At 46.8% G+C, this 16,982-nt stretch overlaps 1 protein-coding gene across 5 annotated transcripts, besides 3 other annotated features; it reads left to right on the top strand.

The window, feature by feature from the left end:
* Positions 5,247-5,763: an enhancer, noted in NCBI's record as "OCT4-NANOG-H3K4me1 hESC enhancer chr8:37797148-37797664 (GRCh37/hg19 assembly coordinates)". NCBI's record gives its function as "activates a minimal SCP1, AML or CMV promoter by ChIP-STARR-seq in naive H9 embryonic stem cells {active_cell/tissue: H9 hESC(naive)}" and the evidence as "EXISTENCE:reporter gene assay evidence [ECO:0000049][PMID:30033119]".
* On the top strand, positions 5,269-11,112 carry GOT1L1 (glutamic-oxaloacetic transaminase 1 like 1). Of its 5 annotated transcripts, none has more exons than XR_949376.3 (9): positions 5,269-5,478; positions 6,512-6,693; positions 7,644-7,755; positions 8,007-8,116; positions 8,336-8,428; positions 8,523-8,673; positions 9,524-9,689; positions 9,939-10,093; positions 10,178-10,250. XR_949376.3 is itself a non-coding variant. In XM_005273399.4 (9 exons), the coding sequence occupies exons 1-9, from the start codon at positions 5,364-5,366 to the stop codon at positions 11,098-11,100; spliced, it is 1,263 nt and encodes a 420-aa protein (XP_005273456.1). In that variant the 5' UTR covers positions 5,269-5,363; the 3' UTR covers positions 11,101-11,112. The 5 variants fall into 5 exon arrangements, 4 of the variants coding, with proteins under 4 accessions (XP_005273456.1, NP_689626.2, XP_006716348.1 ...); XM_005273399.4 differs by lacking the exon at positions 9,939-10,093 and adding an exon at positions 10,907-11,112 and having other exon boundaries at positions 8,339-8,428; positions 10,178-10,320; NM_152413.3 differs by lacking the exon at positions 9,939-10,093 and adding an exon at positions 10,907-11,112 and having other exon boundaries at positions 10,178-10,320.
* Positions 9,605-10,106: an enhancer, noted in NCBI's record as "H3K27ac hESC enhancer chr8:37792805-37793306 (GRCh37/hg19 assembly coordinates)". NCBI's record gives its function as "activates a minimal SCP1, AML or CMV promoter by ChIP-STARR-seq in naive H9 embryonic stem cells {active_cell/tissue: H9 hESC(naive)}" and the evidence as "EXISTENCE:reporter gene assay evidence [ECO:0000049][PMID:30033119]".
* Positions 16,688-16,982: an enhancer, noted in NCBI's record as "tiled region #5273; HepG2 Activating non-DNase unmatched - State 24:Quies". NCBI's record gives its function as "activates a minimal TATA promoter and a strong SV40 promoter by Sharpr-MPRA in HepG2 cells {active_cell/tissue: HepG2}" and the evidence as "EXISTENCE:reporter gene assay evidence [ECO:0000049][PMID:27701403]".

Here is a 16,982-nt window from a genome sequence, read left to right as displayed (position 1 = left end):
GGCAGGAGAATGACATGAACCCGGGAGGCGGAGCTTGCAGTGAGCCGAGATGGTGCCACTGCACTCCAGCCTAGGCGACAGAGTGAGACTCTGTCTCAAAAAAAAAAAGAGTGTTAAGAGGTGGGGCTTTTTGGAAAGTGATTAAGTCTTGAAGGCTCCACCTTCATGAATGGGATTGGTGTCCTTATAAAAGAGGTTGGGCTGATGAGAGATGGGAACTTGGGGCCACAAGCATGTCATTCCCTTTTACTGGCTGACCAGCTACCAGGCAGAGCCTCTGGCATGAGCCAACTTTCCTCTCCATTTACCTCTCCTCTCCTCATTCCCACTCCCCAGCCCTGGGCACTCCACATAGCCTGCAGTTGTCCAGAGAAAAACGTCTTTTCCCCCTGCTGCTGGGACAGTACTGGGGACCCTGGAATTTTTACCAGATTTGGAAGTGTGAGGCCAACAGACAAAAAAAATAGCCATTAAAAGTGATGCTCTTCAAGAATTTGATGGGCCAGGTGCTGTGGCTCATGCCTGTAATCCTAGCACTTTGGGAGGCCGAGGTGGGTGGATCACTTGAGGTCAGGAGTTCGAGACAAGCCTGGCCAACATGGTGAAACCCTGTCTCTTCTAAAAATACACAAATTAGCTGGGTGTGGTGGTGTGCGCCTGTAATCCCAGCTACTCAGGAGGCAGAGGCAGGAGAATCGCTTGAACTCGAGAGGAGGAGGTTGCACTGAGCTGAGATTGCACCACTGCACTCCAGCCTGGGTGACAGAGCGAGACTGTGGCTCAAAAAACAAACAAACAACAACGAAAAAGAATTTGGAGGCCAGGCTTAATGGCTAATGTCTAATTCCAGCATTTTGGGACTTGGAGGCAAGAGGATCACTTGACCCCAGGAGTTTGAGACAGCCTGGGCAACATAGTGAAACCCCATCTCTCCCAAAAATTAGAAAAATTAGCTGGGCCTGACGGTGCATACATATAGTCCTAGCTATTCCAGAGGCTAAGGCCTGATCCTGGGAAGTTTGAGGCTGCAGTGAGCCTTGGTCGCACCATGGCACTCTAGCCTGGGCGACAGAGTGACATCCTGTCTCAAATAATAACAATAATAATAATAATAATAATAATTTGTAATGAATGATGCAGTGAACACTTGCTGACTGTCTTCCCAGAATTCCTTCTCCCCTCTCCCATTCCTAAGAGCACCTGGAATCTCAGGGGGAATCTTTCTCGGCTGGCACCACCCTAGGCTCTAGGTGGTTGGTTTAAACTGATGGAGTATTCCATTCTCAGCCATGTTAAGATTAGGGATGGGCGAGGGACTCAACTGAAGCCAAGGAGAAACAACAAAGGGGCCCAGGGAATTCAGGAAAGGAAAAGTAAACGTTTTATAAAGGAAAAATTTTAAATATCAGGACCCCTACAAACTTCTTTTTTTTTTTTTTTTTTTTTTTTAAGACAGAGTCTTGCTCTGTCACCCAGGCTGGAGTGCACTGGTGCTATCTGGGCTTACTGCAACTTCTGTCTCCCAGGTTCAAGCGATTCTCCTGCCTCAGCCTCCCTAGTAGCTGGGATTACAGGCACCTGCCACCACACCCAGCTTTTTTTGCATTCTGAGTAGAGACGGGGTTTCACCATATTGGCCAGGCTGGTCTCGAACTCCTGACCTCAAGTGATCTGCCCACCTCTGCCTCCCAACATGCTGGGATTACAGGTGTGAGCCACTGTGGCTGGCCTAATTTTTGTATTTTGGTAGAGACAGGATCTCAAGTGCCTGTAATCCTAGCAGATGGGGAGGATGAGGTGGGAGGATCACTTAAGGCCAGGAGTTTGAGACCAGCCTGGGCAACATAGCAAGATCCCACCTTTGCAAAAAATTAAAAAAAAAATTAAAGGCTTCAGAGAATTCTATTGCATGGATATCATTATTAATTTAAACATTCCTTCGGTAATTGGTATTTGGTTTATTTGCAAACAAAGCTGACATGTAGATTCCTTAAGTGTGTATCACTTCGTTTATGTGCTGCATCCCATCCATCATCCACTTTTTTTTTTTTTTGAGATGGAGTTTCACTCTTGTCGTCCAGGCTGGAGTGCAATGGCTCAATCTCGGCTCACTGCAACCTCCGCCTCCCTGGTTCAAGCTGTTCTCCTGCCTCAGTCTCCTGAGTAGCTGGGATTACAGGCACAGGCCATCAAACCCAGCTAATTTTTGTATTTTTAGTAGAGACGGGGTTTCACCACATTGGCCAGACTGGTCTCAAACTCATGACCTCAGGTGACCTGCCCGCCTCAGCCACCCAAAGTGTTGGGATTACAGGCGTGAGCCACTGTGCCCGGCCCCATCCACTTTTGTTCTCACATCCAGCGTCAGCCAGAGAACCAGCCTGACGCATCCAGGACAGTAGAGCCAAGGGGATGCCAGAGAATGAAGCTGGGGCCCTGATGATAACTGTGTCCCTCTGGACTGAACTCCGACTGGAGTCAGATGTACCCTGGCCCTCCCAGTTAGGTGCCAATACTTTCTCTCTGTTGCTCAAGCTGGTTTGGACTAGGTCTTTTTTAAATTACCTGCAGCATAAAAGGTTCTCACTGGCACACAATAAAATCCTCACAGCTGAAATGTTAAGTGAAGAAAGTATGATGAAAATGACACATAAATGTTGATAGCAATTACCTTAAAATATAAATGTCAAAGAATAGAAACTGGATGGAGGTGCACCCGGACTGAAGTTATGGATTGGTTGTAGGGAATTTGTGTGCTTCATTATAATTTTTTGATGCTTTTGAGTTTTCTACAATAATACGGACTACTTTCATAATCATTTGCCTCAAAACAGGTTCCCTGGGAGCATAGCCTGAGACAGGAGTTCCTGGGCATGTGACTTAGGGAAGGAGTGCCCTTCAGGAAGAACCTGGAAGGGAGTGAAGGAAGCAGGATTGTGAAGGGGAAGGAACCAAGCAAGGATGTGGCCTCAGGTCAAGTCTAGGCTTCGCCTGGTTGGGGAATGGGCCCTGAAGTGTAGATTGAGCCACAGAGGTGAACCGAGACAAGGGGGCTGGCCTTTTTTCTTTTTCTTTTCCTTTTTTTTTTTTTTTGAGACAGTCTCGCTCTGTCACCCAGGCTAGAGTGCAGTGGAGAGATCTCGGCTCACTGTGCCCTCTGCCTCCCGTGTTCAAGCAATTCTCCTGTCTCAGCCTCCTCCCTACATGCGCCCACCACCAAGCCAGGCTAATTTTTTTTTTGTATTTTTAGTAGAGACGGGGTTTCACCCCATTAGCCAGTATGGTCTCAATCTCCTGTCCTTGTGATCTGCCTGTCTTGGCCTTCCAAAGTGCTGGGATTACAGGTGTGAGCCACCGTGCCCGACCTTTTTTTTTTTTTAAAGACAGGATCTCACTCTGTCAACCAGGCTGGAGTGCAGTGCCATGATCATAGCTCACTGCAATACCACCACGCCCAGCTAATTTTAAAATTTTTTGTGGAGTGGGTGGGGGGGGTCTCCCTATGTTGCTCAGGCTGGTCTTGAGCTCCTGGGCTCAAGTGATCCTCCCGCCTCAGTCTCCCAAAGCACTAGGATTGCAGGTGTGAGCCACCATGCCTGGCTGTGGCTGACCCTTTGTATGCCTAAATCAGGCAGTCATTGGCTACCCCTGTCAGTGGGGGTGAAACCTCCAGGTGGTTTCTAGGCTAGCTGACTCCTGCCAGCCAAGCACAATTCTCCAGAGAACACAGGCATATAAGCCTTGTCCACCAGCGAAGCAGCAGCTGGGGCCGGGCACATTGGTGGTGAAGGCCTTCTGGGTGAGACATCAACAGTGTTTGCAACAATCATTTAAAGAGTTATTTAACATCAGGCTGGGTGTGGTGGCTCATGCCTGTAATCCTAACACTTTGGGAGGCTGAGGTAGGCAGATCACTTGAGGTCAGGAGTTTGAGACCAGTCTGGCCAACGTGGTGAAACCCTGTCTCTACTAAAAATACAAAAAAAAGCCGGGCGCAGTGACTCACGCCTGTAATCCCAGCACTTTGGGAGGCCCAGGTGGGCAGATCACCTGAGGTCTGGAGTTTGAGACCAGCCTGATCAACATGGAGAAATCCCCCTCTCTACTAAAAATACAAAATTAGTTGGGTGTGGTGGCGCATGCCTGTAATCCCAGCTACTCGGGAGGCTGAGGCAGGAGAATCTCTTGAACCTGGGAAGCAGAGGTTGCAGTGAGCCGAGATCACACCACTGCACTCCAATGTGGGCAGCAAGAGCGAGACTCTGTCTCAAAAAAAAAAAAAAAAAAAAAGAGAGAGTCATTAAACATCAAAAGGAAAAGAAAGCAAGCAATATGCAGACTGACTCTATAGAGGCTGGCTCTTTTCTCCCCTTGGCCTCTGCTGTCTATACTTACTAGTTGGCTGTCATTGAAACTTAACAAATGGCCAGGTGTGGTGGCTCATGCCTGTAATCCCAGCAGTTTGGGAGGCCAAGGCAGGCAGATCACCTGAGGCAAGGAGTTCGAGACTATCGACAAAGTGAGACTCCATCTCAAAAAAAAAAAAAACCAAAAAAAGAAAGAAAAAGAAACTTAACAAACATATGTAGAAGTCTTGGCTCTAGATAACTGAGAGAAATAGGACTGGCTTAGTGAGTTGCCAATTATATTCTAATAATAGGATTCTTTATTAAAACAACTGTGGAAGAAAACAGTGTTTGCTTTTTATTCCTTTTGAAATCTGGGGCACTTTGCAAAATGGAAATCAATGCCTCGACTTGCATTGGTGTGTGATCTGGGGTTTTTGCTTCTGCAGGAGAAGCCCTATCTGGCTTATTGGCTGCCTGCCTTGCCCTATGTCTTTCTTTCTTTTTTTTTTTTTTAATTTGTATAAATGTGTGAAGTACAAGTGTAATTTTGTTAGATGCATACATCGCATAGTGGTGAAGTCAGGGCTTTTAGGGTATCCATAACCCCAACAATGTACATTGTATCTGTTAAGTAATCTCCCATTATCCTTGCCCTGTCATCTAAGGAGTGGGCTTGTTACTTTGGACTGAGCCACCTGGGGCTAGAGAAGAGAAGGCATTGAGTGAGGGAAACGGGCTTGGGAATTCCGGAGATTGTTATCCTGCCCTGCCCGCTGTCTGAGGGGATTCTCCTCAAGTACCCTGGAATGTTCCTGTGGCCCCTGTGGATCGCCACCACAAAGATCATGAGGTTCTGTTGCCCTGGCAACCCGTTGTCCAGCGCCTCTGCACTGGGGCTGCCAAGGTTCCAGGAAGAGGCAGGACTGCCCGGCCCAGCCTTGGAGGAAGACTTCTGGGCAGAAGCGGAACACAGGAGCAGAGACACATAGTCTTGGCTCCAGTTTCGTTTCAGTTATGCCCACCCTTTCAGTGTTCATGGATGTGCCCCTCGCCCACAAGCTAGAGGGCAGCTTGTTAAAGACCTACAAACAAGATGATTACCCGAACAAGATATTCTTAGCCTATAGAGGTAGATGCCTAGCAGTTCTGAAGTATAAGACTTAAGTGATGGTAACTGCCTCTAGGAGGACAGTGTTCCCTGCTGCAGGGGGAGGGGTGCAGCCCAAGCTTCTGTGGGTGGAGAGATCTTTTCTTGTTAACAGAATTACCCAGTGGGGAAAAGTGCAGATAAGGTCCCAGGTCATTCCATGCTCTCTGCCCTTCTCTGGGGGCTTCTAGGGATTTGGTGAGAGCTATGTCCTCTTCCACAACTCTATGCTTGGGGGCCTGCATGGCCATCCCACACTTCTTCAGATTCTTACCTCCTCTCTCTCTCTTTCTCTTTCTCTTCCTGTTCTTGAACCAAGAATGGTTCTCCAGATTGAGCTTTCTGCTATGCAACTGGGGCTCACCACTGTGAAAGTCAGGGTTACCTTTATTTAGCTTCATCTACCTATAACTCTCATTTTGCATATATATATATATATATATATATATATATATATATATATATTTTTTTTTTTTTTTTCTTGAGACAGGGCCTCACTCTGTTGCCCAGGCTGAAGTGCAGTGGCAAGATCTCAGCTCACTGCCACCTTTGCCTCCTGGGCTCAAACCATCCTCTTGCCTCAGCCTCCTGAGTAGCTGGGACTACAGGCGCTGGTCACCATGTCTGGCTGTTTTGTATTTTTTTGTAGAGACAGGGTTTCATCATGTTGCCCAGGCTGATCTTGAACTCCTGAACTCAAGTGATCCACCCACCTTAGCCTCCCGAAGTGCTGGGATTACAGGCCTGAGCCACCAATCCTGGGCTTGTATAATTTTTAACCTTTAAAATGGCATAGGTTTCAGTTGTCTTTTTTAAAAAGACAAAAATAATACACATTCACTAACAGCATATTCTTTTCATCAAGGAGAAAAGAAAAGGGAAAGTTGTATTTTCACAGGCACCTTCCCACAGCCCCATGGAGTCCAGGAGAGATTTGTTTGCAGGCTGTCTGCAGAGCTCAGCCCTGGGGGCCCAAACCAGGCATCTGGAGCTCCCTCTGTGGTTTTCCTCACAGTCTGCATGACAAATGAAGGCCATCCCTGGGTTTCTCTCGTGGTGCAGAAGACTCGACTACAGATTTCACAGGATCCCTCCCTGAATTATGAGTACTTGCCCACCATGGGCCTGAAATCATTCATCCAGGCCTCTCTAGCACTCCTCTTTGGAAAGCACAGCCAAGCCATTGTGGAGAACAGGGTGAGAAGGTGGGCCCTCCCCTGGCTCATTTAGACACAGAGAGTGGCGATCTGGGTCTGCACAACCTTAAACCCGAAGGGGACCTCGGAGGGCCCCCTGGTATTGATAAAAGAGATACCTGAGGCTCAGAGAGTCCACAAGTCCTTAGCCATCGAGTCAGGATCGGAATCTCAGTCCAGTGGTATTCCCACCTGCTCACACTGCTGATTTGAAAGCTCTTTCAAGACAGGAATGATCTGAATTGGAGGTGGTGTTAGTATTCCCATTACTGTTTTATTTTTTAACCTATTATATATATTTTTTGAGACAGAGTCTCACTCTGTCACCCAGGCTAGAGTGCAGTGGTGCCATCTCAGCTCACTGCAACCTCCACCTCCCAGGTTCAAGCAATTCTGGTGCTGCATCCTCCTGAGTAGCTGGAATCACAGGCATGTGCCATCACGCCCAGCTAATTTTTGTATTTTTTGTAGAGACAGGGTTTCACCATGTTGGCCAGGCTGGTCTCAAACTCCTGGCCTCAGGGGATTCCCTGCCTCGTCCTCCCAAAGTGCTGGGATTACAGGCATGAGCTACTGCGTCTCGCCTCCATTACTGTTTTAGAGTGTTATTTCTGTCTATTTCTTTTTATTTTTTAATGTTTATTTACTTATTATTTTTTTGAGACGGAGTCTCACTCTGTCACCCAGACTGGAGTGCAGTGGCCTGATCTCCGCTCACTGCAACTTCCGCCTTCCGGGTTCAAGTGATTCTCCTGCCTCAGCCTCTTGAGTAGCGGGGATTACACATGCCCAACACCACATCCGGCTAATTTTTGTATTTTTAGTAGATACGGGGTTTCAACATGTTGGCCATGACCTCGAGTGATCCACCCACCCCAGCCTCCCAAAGTGCTGGAATTACAGGTGTGAGCCACCACACCTGGCCTATTTGTGTCTATGTCTTGCTGGCAGGTAGGGGGTGTACACACTGTTGGTGACAGTGGTGCCTTCCAGCTTGGCGTCCAGTTTCTCAGAGCTTGGCATAAGGATGCTCGTATAGTTTACATCATCTCTTCTCAAAAAGGTTAGTCTTACCCAAGATGAGGGGAACAGCAATCCCCGTCCCTTGTTCCTAATCCTCACCCCATTTGCCATCTTCACTGTTATCCCTCATTCTCTGTCATGAGCAAAATGGCAGACAAGCCAAGCTATTTATGTCCTTTTCCTGTTAATGTCCCACCTTCAGCCAGTGACTCTCAGCCCCACACTCCAGTACCTCTGTCTCCGTCTCTCTGTTTCCCATGTACCAGCTAGTGGGGGGCTGTGTTCCCACAGAACTGCATGGACTCGTCTTCCAGGACATGGGCTTTACAGTTTATGAATACTCTGTCTGGGACCCCAAGAAGCTATGCATGGACCCCGACATACTCCTCAATGTGGTGGAGGTAGAGGGGCCCCGCTCAGAAACTCCTCCCTAGAGCTGACTTACAGCCTAATGTTCCTCTCCTCCCCACACCTCTTAAGTCATCCAAGACCTTTTCCAGGTTTGAATTTGCCTGGCCCTTCAATGGTAACTAACATGGAGGAGCACTTCACCCCCAAATGCCCTGGGGCCGCCACTCCTGGGTGGGGGTGAAGCCTGATGAGACCGTCTGTACCTGCAGCAGATCCCACATGGCTGTGTCCTTGTGATGGGGAACATTATCGACTGCAAGTTGACACCAAGTGGGTGGGCAAAGTTGATGTCCATGATAAAGGTAAACCCAATCTCCCACCCGACCTTCCTGTCTTTGACTCTCTGCTCTCTCCTCCATCTGTCTCATTCTTTTTTTGTTCTCCTTTCTCCTACAGAGCAAGCAGATATTCCCATTTTTTGATATTCCCTGTCAAGGTTTATACACCAGTGACTTGGAAGAAGATACTAGAATCTTACAATACTTTGTGTCTCAAGGCTTTGAGTTCTTCTGCAGCCAGTCTCTGTCCAAGAATTTTGGCATTTATGGTATGGTACAGGCAGAAGAAGGGAGGGTCTGTTGCTGAAGTGGTGCTGCGCTCACAGCACAGTGATGTTTTTGATATCTCATCCTTGGGAGGGAGCCAAGGACTCTAGGGAGAGCACTATAGAAGCAGAAGTGGGGAGCACTGAGCTAGAATTTGGTTCTGTTACTAAATCTAGTAACAGAACCCAACCCAGCTTGGCTTGGATCATTTCACCCCCTCAGGCCTCTGTTTCCTCAACTATAAGATGAGAGGGTGGGGCTGGCATGGTGGGTGACACCTGTAATCCCAGTTGACACCTCCTAATCCCTCCTTTGGGAGGTCAAGGTTAGGTGATCACTTGAGGCCAGGAATTCAAGACCAGCCTGGGCAACACACCGAGACCCGGTCTCTACAAACAATTAAAAAAATTAGTCGGGCATGGTGGTACACACCAGTAGTCCTACCCACCCGGGGGGCTGAGGCAGGAGGATTGCTTAAGCCCAGGAGGTAGAGGTTGCAGTGAGCTATGATTCCACCATTGCACTCTAGCCTGGGCAACAGAGAGAGATGGTCACTTTAAACAAATAAAAATAAAAATAAAAATAAAAAAGGAAAGGAAAGGAAAAAACAGGAGAGTAGAACTTAGTGATCTTTCAAATTCCTTCCTCCTTTAAGACTCTGACTTATGGGTACTTTTGCTGGAAGGAGAGCCTCTGGCAACTTCCCGGAGCCTGAATATCACCCTGGCTGGGCTGCAATGAGGGCCTTGTGGTTCAACCCTTTCTTCTGCAAGGTTGGGGGTTGAGATCTAGGTGAAGGCCTTGGGAGTGGAGGAAGGGGCTGAGGCTGAGGCTGTCTTCCCAACACTGCAGATGAAGGAGTGGGGATGCTAGTGGTGGTGGCAGTCAACAACCAGCAGCTGCTGTGTGTCCTCTCCCAGCTGGAAGGATTAGCCCAGGCCCTGTGGCTAAACCCCCCCAACACGGGTGCACGTGTCATCACCTCCATCCTCTGCAACCCTGCTCTGCTGGGAGAATGGTAAGGGTGAGGGCTGGAGCAGGAAGGGATGGGAGAGGCCCTGGGTGCCTGCAGACCTGCTGATCTGCAGGATTCGGCAGGGTGCTTCTCTCCTGCCCATGTGGCCTTTTTACTCCATTCATTCATCAACATTTACTAAGGACCTGATGTGTACCAATGGCGGTGGCTATGCCAAGGGTTGCCTTAGGGGACAGAGTGATAGGACATTTGTTTTGCACCCAGGCCAATGAGTTATATGAACTCTTCCAGATTGCTTGGGGAGATAAGAGAGCATCAGGGGCTTGCAACTCTGGCAAAATCTGCCTGGGAGCCTCCCTGGTTTGCTTAAATGAATATGAGATCAAACCTCCCTCCCACTCATAATCATCCCAGAGCCTCTGGCACTCTGTTGGAGACCTTTGAAGGTAAGAAGAGTGGACTGGCAATGAGGGAGGTTTGAGGGCAAGGGGGACCTCACACCCTCCTTTCTCATTGTCCTTCCTTGGTAGGAAGCAGAGTCTAAAAGAAGTTGTAGAGAACATCATGCTAACCAAGGAAAAAGTGAAGGAGAAACTCCAGCTCCTGGGAACCCCTGGGTCCTGGGGTCACATCACCGAGCAGAGTGGGACCCACGGCTATCTTGGACTCAACTGTAAGGGTCTAGGGGGCTGGTGTCCCCCCTTTCTGACCTTTGGCCTGTATTTGAGCATTAAACTTCACTGACTAGGTGACCAGTTCCTAGCTTCACTCCAGATTTTGATTCTGTCCTCTGGAAAATGGGCTGCTTTAAAGACACTTCTGGACCCCCAGAAGTACCGACACTCCCTATCCTTCATAAACCAGCCTGGGTGCCCGGTGCAGTGGCTCATGCCTGTAATCCCAACACTTTGAGAGGCCGAGGCGGGTGGGTCACCTGAGGTCAGGAGTTCGAGACCAGCCTGGCCAACATGGTGAAACCCCGTCTCTACTAAAAAATAAAATATGAAAATTAGCCGTGCATGGTGGTGCATCCTGTAATCATAGCTACTTGGGAGGTTGAGGCAGGAGAATCGCTTGAACCTGGGAGGCGAAGGTTGCAGTGAGCCAAGATTGCACCATTGAACTCCAGCCTGGGCAACAAGAGCAAAACTCCATCTCAATCAATCAATCAATAAAAAAATAAGAAAATAAACCAGCCTGGGCTAGAGGAGAATTCGAGATGGCCAGTCTCGAGATCTGAGACCTTGTCATGATTTTAGCCCAGCAGGTGGAATACCTGGTCAGGAAGAAGCACATCTATATCCCCAAGAACGGTCAGATTAACTTCAGCTGTATCAATGCCAACAACATAAATTACATCACTGAGGGCATCAATGAGGCTGTCCTCCTCACAGAGAGCTCAGAGATGTGTCTTCCAAAGGAAAAAAAAACACTGATTGGAATAAAACTTTAGTCTTTGCAAAAATCTTGTGCTGATTATTCATTACTACAATTCATTTCTTTGCTTATTTATGAAGCAGTGGTCTGGCCTCAGTACAGAGAAAGAGACAGAGAGAAAGAGAGAGAGAAAGGCCCAGAGGGGAAGGGTGTATCTACCTTCATTGGCCATCTCATATTTATTGAGCACCTACTACATTAAGGCCCTGAGCTGGCCGTGAAAGGGAGTACAAAAAACAGGTAGAAACCAGCCTGTTTTCTCCAGACACTTACAGTCTAGTTGGGAGACAAGCCTTAGTCACATAAAACACTTAAGTAACATTTTAAGGCTGAATGTGACAGAAGTCAGAATATATAAACAGAAAATGTGCCAGGAATTTAGAAAAGAAATACGTCAAAGTGGGCCAGAATAGATGGGGAGCATCTCATGAGGAGGTAGCACTTGATTGGGATATTGATAGACAGATGAATGGATTGGATGAATAATAACTAATAGAAGCTGGAAGGATATCCTAGGTCAATAACAACCTGAGCAAGTGTCACTGACATGATAAGAAAAAATAAATGTTTATCGGGCAGCTACTAATACATGGGACTCTGCAAACTCCCAGGATACCAACAGGTATATGACACAGTTGGTGCCCTCCACTCTCGTTGGGGAGACACAATTTATATGGTTGAAAGGAAAAACTCTTTTTTCTCTCTCCTCTACTGTGACTCTCAATTCTGACACCAGATTGTATAGGGTTTTTCCCACACAATTAATTCCGTTCTTTGGTAGACATCAGTTGGGTGTCTTAAAATTCAATAGATTCTTTTTTATTTTTTCTTTTCTTGGGATGGCGTCTCTGTCGCCCAGGCTGCAGTGCAGTTGTGCAATCTCAGCTCACTGCAACTGCCACCTCCCAGGTTCAAGAGATTCTCTTGCCTCAGTCTCCCAAGTAGCTGGGACTACAGGTATGTGCCACCACGCCCGGCTAATTTTTGTATTTTTGTTAGAGACGGGGTTTCGCCATGTTGGCCAGGTTGGTCTTGGACTCCTCTTCTCAGGTGATCCACCCGCCTCAGCCTCTGAAAATGCCGGGATTACAGGCGTGAACCACCATGCCCAGCCCAATTCAATAGATTCTGATACTACCTACCTGGAGTTAGCATCAAATTCCAGAGGTGAATGGCTCAGTTCTGCAAGACTGCACCCCGTGAATGGCTCAGTTCTGCAAGACTGCACCCCACTTCAGATGCCAGTCACATGTCCAGTGGTGTGACTTGTGCATCTGCTATAAACTGGGGTTCCTACCACTCCTTCCTTGGGTTTGATAATTTGCCAGAACAATTCACATATCTCAGGAAAATAGTTTATTTACTAGATTATCAGTTTGTTATAAAAGGATGCAACTCAGGAACAGCCAGATGGAAGACACGCATAGGGAAAGGGGCGTGGAGCTTCCATGGTCTCTCTGGGTTCGCCCTCCCAGCTCCTCCATATGTTCAGCAACCTGGAAGCTCTCCCAAACCCTTTAGTTAGGGGTTTTTATGAAGGCTTCATTGCACAGGCATGATGGACTAAAACATTGGCCGTTGTTGATTAACTCAACCTCCACCCAGTCCTTCTCCTCTCCCCAGAGGTCAGGGGTAGGCTAAAAAGGTCCAACCTTCTAATCACATTGTCGGCCCCTCCCACAACAAGCCAACCATCCTTATGGGCTTTCGAACAGTGACCGCATTAACATAAACTCAGCTGTGGTTGAAGAGGTCTCATTAGGAATAATAAACAGTGCTCCTTTCACTCTACACTTCTTAATGCTTTGGAAATTCCAAGGGTTTGTTTTATTTTTTTTAAGATGGAGTTTCAGTCTTGTTGCCCAGGCTGGAGTGCAATGGCGTGATCTTGGCTCACTGCAACCTCCGCCTCCTGGGTTCAAGCAATTCTCCTGCCTCAGCCTCCCAAGTAGCTGGGATTACAGGCATGTGCCACCGTGCCTGCCTAATTTTTTTTTTTAACTAGAAACGGGGTTTCACCATGTTGGTCAGGCTGGTCTCGAACTCCAGCCTGACCTCAAGTAATCCATCCGGCTCCGCATCCCAAAGTGCTGGGATTATAGGCGTGAGCCACTGTGTCTGGCCTCCAGGGGTTTTTAGGAGTTCTGTGCCAGAAACTGGACAGCGACCGAATCTATTTCTTATCATAAATCACAATACCACAATGATAAAAATGTAGATAACAATAAAAGGTGAAATGTAGTAAGTGCTAATAAGTGTTTCAGTAAAGGGTTAGCCCAGGAGGACTTAGTTACCCAAACCCTGCATATTCCAAGGGTCTTCAGGACTGGGCCTCACTGGCTCCTGGGGTGTGCATCCAGACCCTTGAGTGTCCTACCTGATAAGAGTGTCTTTGTGGCCCAAGACCTTGGGATGCATCTATTAGTTTGATTTCTTGGGGCTGGAGACTGAGCAGCTAAGGTCCGTTATATGGGTACTGCATGACTATGTAATTGATCCCCAATAAAAACTCTGGACACCAAGGCTTAGGGGGGCTTCCCTGGTTGGCAGCACTTCACATGTGTTGTCACACACTGTTGCTGAGAGAATTAAGCACTGTTCTGTGTGAATCCACTCAGTGAAGACAGCTGGAAGTTTGTGCCTGGTTTCTCGTGGACTCCACCCTGTGCCTTTTTCCCTTGCTGATTTCACCCCGTTTCCTTTCACTGTAATAAACCGTAACCACAAGTGTAACAGCTATGCTGAGTCCTGTGAGAGCCTGCAGGTGGCCTCAGAGACCTCCAACACACACGTTCAATTAGATTCAGAGCTGGGTTTAGCAGGAAGATTCAGGCAAGCCCATTTTCAGCTTCCTTGCATCCCCTGAGGATGGCTCCTGCAGGGAGTACAGACAAGTGATCAGCCTCATAGGGTTGGGCTTGAGATCCAAAAACCTGGCTGCCAAGGTTAGTAGGCTCCTGCCTGGAAAAGAAAATCCCCTTCCCAAAGACCGTAATTCTTATGAGAGGTAGCAGAGTGATATGGCTTAGCTGTGTCCCCACCTAAATCTCATCTTGAATTGTAGCTCCCATAATTCCCACATGTGGGAGGGACCCAGTGGGAGATAATTCAATCATGGGGGTGGTTTCCCCCATACTGTTCTCGTGACAGTGAATAAGTTTCATTAGATCTGATGGTTTTATAAGGGATTTCCCCTTTCACTTGGCTCTCCTTGTCTCTTGTCTGCCACCATGTAAGATGTGCCTTTTGCCTTCCTCCATGATTGTGAAGCCTCTACAGCCACGTGGAACTGTGAGTCCATTAAACCTCTTTTTCTTTATAAATTAGTCAATCTCAGTATGTTTTTATTAGCAGTGTGAAAACAAGCTAATACACAGGGCATCTGACTAGAGGTGATTGTGAGGAGGCTTGCAAGAAAGTTCATAGAACAAACATAGCCATCTCCTCTGGCTTCCTGTTGTTTAGAGATGGGTTTTATTTTGAGCCCCTGTATTTGTCCACAGTCTCAGGTTCTTCTTCAGGTCTTCTGATGGCTCCTTTGTCCCCAGGTTCTAAAGGCTTCTTGTCCCAATGTCAGAATAACTCTAGAGAACCCTCAGTGCTTGCAGATGGCAGGTTTTAACTGTTCTCAAAGGCGTACTAGCATGAGGAGATAATTTATTCAGCCAACGTTCTCCCCACCCTCCTGAGCCTAAGAAAATCATGGACTCTCATGTTACGGAGGTCAGAAAGCTTTGAACTACTAAAGCAAGACTATTGTCTTTGACCTTTCTTACTAGTGGATTACATGAGCCACAAGGATTTCTAGTGTACCCAGCCCAGGATGCTGGCAGGATTTGGCGGACAGACTGGTTATCCTCAACCTTTGTTCCTAATTGGCTTCCATTCCCCACTATTGACTTCACACTCAAGATTCACTTAAACCTTTCTTGAAAGTATTTTCTGCCTAAATCACCTCTTTTTTTTTTTTTTTAGACGGAGTCTCAGTCTCACTCCATCACCCAGGTTGGGGTGCAGTGGTGCGATCTCGGCTCACTGCAAACTCCACCTACCAGGTTCAAGCAATTCTCCTGTCTCAGCCTCCTGAGTAGCTGGGATTACAGGTGCCTGCCATCAAGCCCAGCTAATTTTTGTATTTCTAGTAAAGACAGGGTTTCACCTTGTTGGTCAGGCTGGTCTTGAACTCCTGACCTCAGGTGATCCACCCGCCTTGGCCTCCCAAAGTGCTGGGATTACAGGCATAAGCCACCATGCCCAGCCTAAATCACCTCTTAAAGTTAGTTTCAGATACCTGGTTACTCTTTATTATTTATTTATTTATTCTTGTGCCTTAGCCTCCTGAGTAGCTGGGACTACAGGGGCGTGCCATCATGCCTGACTAATTTTTGTATTTTTAGTAGAGACAGGGTTTCACCATGTTGGGCAGGCTGGTCTCGAACTCCTGACCTCAGGTAATCTGCCTGCCTCAGCCTCCCAAAGTGCTGGGATTACAGGTGTGAGCCACCGTGCCTGGCCCTCTTTGTTTAAAGTATTAATGATTTAAAACGTTTTATTGTAAACATTTGCAAACACAGTAGGAAGAATTATATGAGTCTCCTTATACCCATCATCCAATGTCCATGATTGCATTGTAGGTAATCTTGTTTCCTTTACATTTCCACACATATTTCCAAATTATTTTGAAGCAAATCATCACATATTTTCATCTGTAAATATTTTTGTATGTGTGTCTAAAAGACAAGGGCTTCCTCTCTTAAAATAACCACAACACCATCATCATACACCTCCAAATCAACAATTGCTTGATATCATAATATATCCAATATCATATGTTCATGTATATAATATCATAAATGTACATTTCCTGAATATTTGTATTATTATTATTTAAAAAAAATTTTTTTAAGCCAGGTGCAGTGGTATGTGCCTATAATCCCAGCTTCTCTGGAGGTACTCAGGAGGGCCAGGTGGGAAGATTGCTTGAGCCTAGGAATTCGAGGCCAGTCTGGGCAACACAGCAAGACCTCATCTCTCTTAAAAAAAAAATAGTTTTTAAATACTAAATCACATATGGTAATTAGTTATTGTGATGGCTTTAAACATTTTCTGAAAATTCTTGGCACTCCTCCCATATAAAGGTAAAGCTTAATTCTCCTTGCCCCGATAGCTAGAGCAATTATTTTGTCTTCTATGTTTCTTTTCATCTATACTTTCCCCCTCCATCTTTTTTTGACTTGCAATTTTTTAAAATTGAAGAACTGGATCTTTTGTCTTGTCAGGTTTCCCACGGAGTGAATTTTGCTGATTTCATCTTCATGATATCATTTAACATGTTCCTCTGTCTCGTTGCATTTCATGAAAATAGCAATCTAAATCTGGAGACTTGATCAGATTCAAGTTTAATATTTAAACAATTTTATAATTTAAAATATTTAGAGATGAGGTTTCCCAGTGTCATCTAGGCTGGAGTGCAGTGGCAAGATCATAGCTCACTGCAGCCTCAAACTCCTGGGCTCAGGTGATCCTCCTGCTTCAGCCTTGCAAGTTGCTGGGACTACAGGTATGAGCCACGGTGACTGGCCAATCTCCTTTCTTTTTTTTTTTTTTTTTTTTTTATTGATCATTTTTTGGTGTTTCTCGCAGAGGGGGATTTGGCGGGGTCATAGGACAATAGTAGAGGGAAGGCCAGCAGATAAACAAGTGAACAAAGGTCTCTGGTTTTCCTAGGCAGAGGACCCTGAGGCCTTCCGCAGTGTTTGTGTCCCTGGGTACTTGAGATTAGGGAGTGGTGATGACTCTTAACGAGCATGCTCCCTTCAAGCATCTGTTTAACAAAGCACATCTTGCACCGCCCTTAATCCATTTAACCCTGAGTGGACACAGCACATGTTTCAGAGA

The sequence above is a fragment of the Homo sapiens genome, chromosome 8 (assembly GCF_000001405.40).
Source record: "Homo sapiens chromosome 8, GRCh38.p14 Primary Assembly".
Classification (NCBI taxonomy): Eukaryota; Metazoa; Chordata; class Mammalia; order Primates; family Hominidae; genus Homo; species Homo sapiens.
Note: the sequence above shows the minus strand (reverse complement) of the source record. Positions and strands in the feature narration are given on the sequence as shown.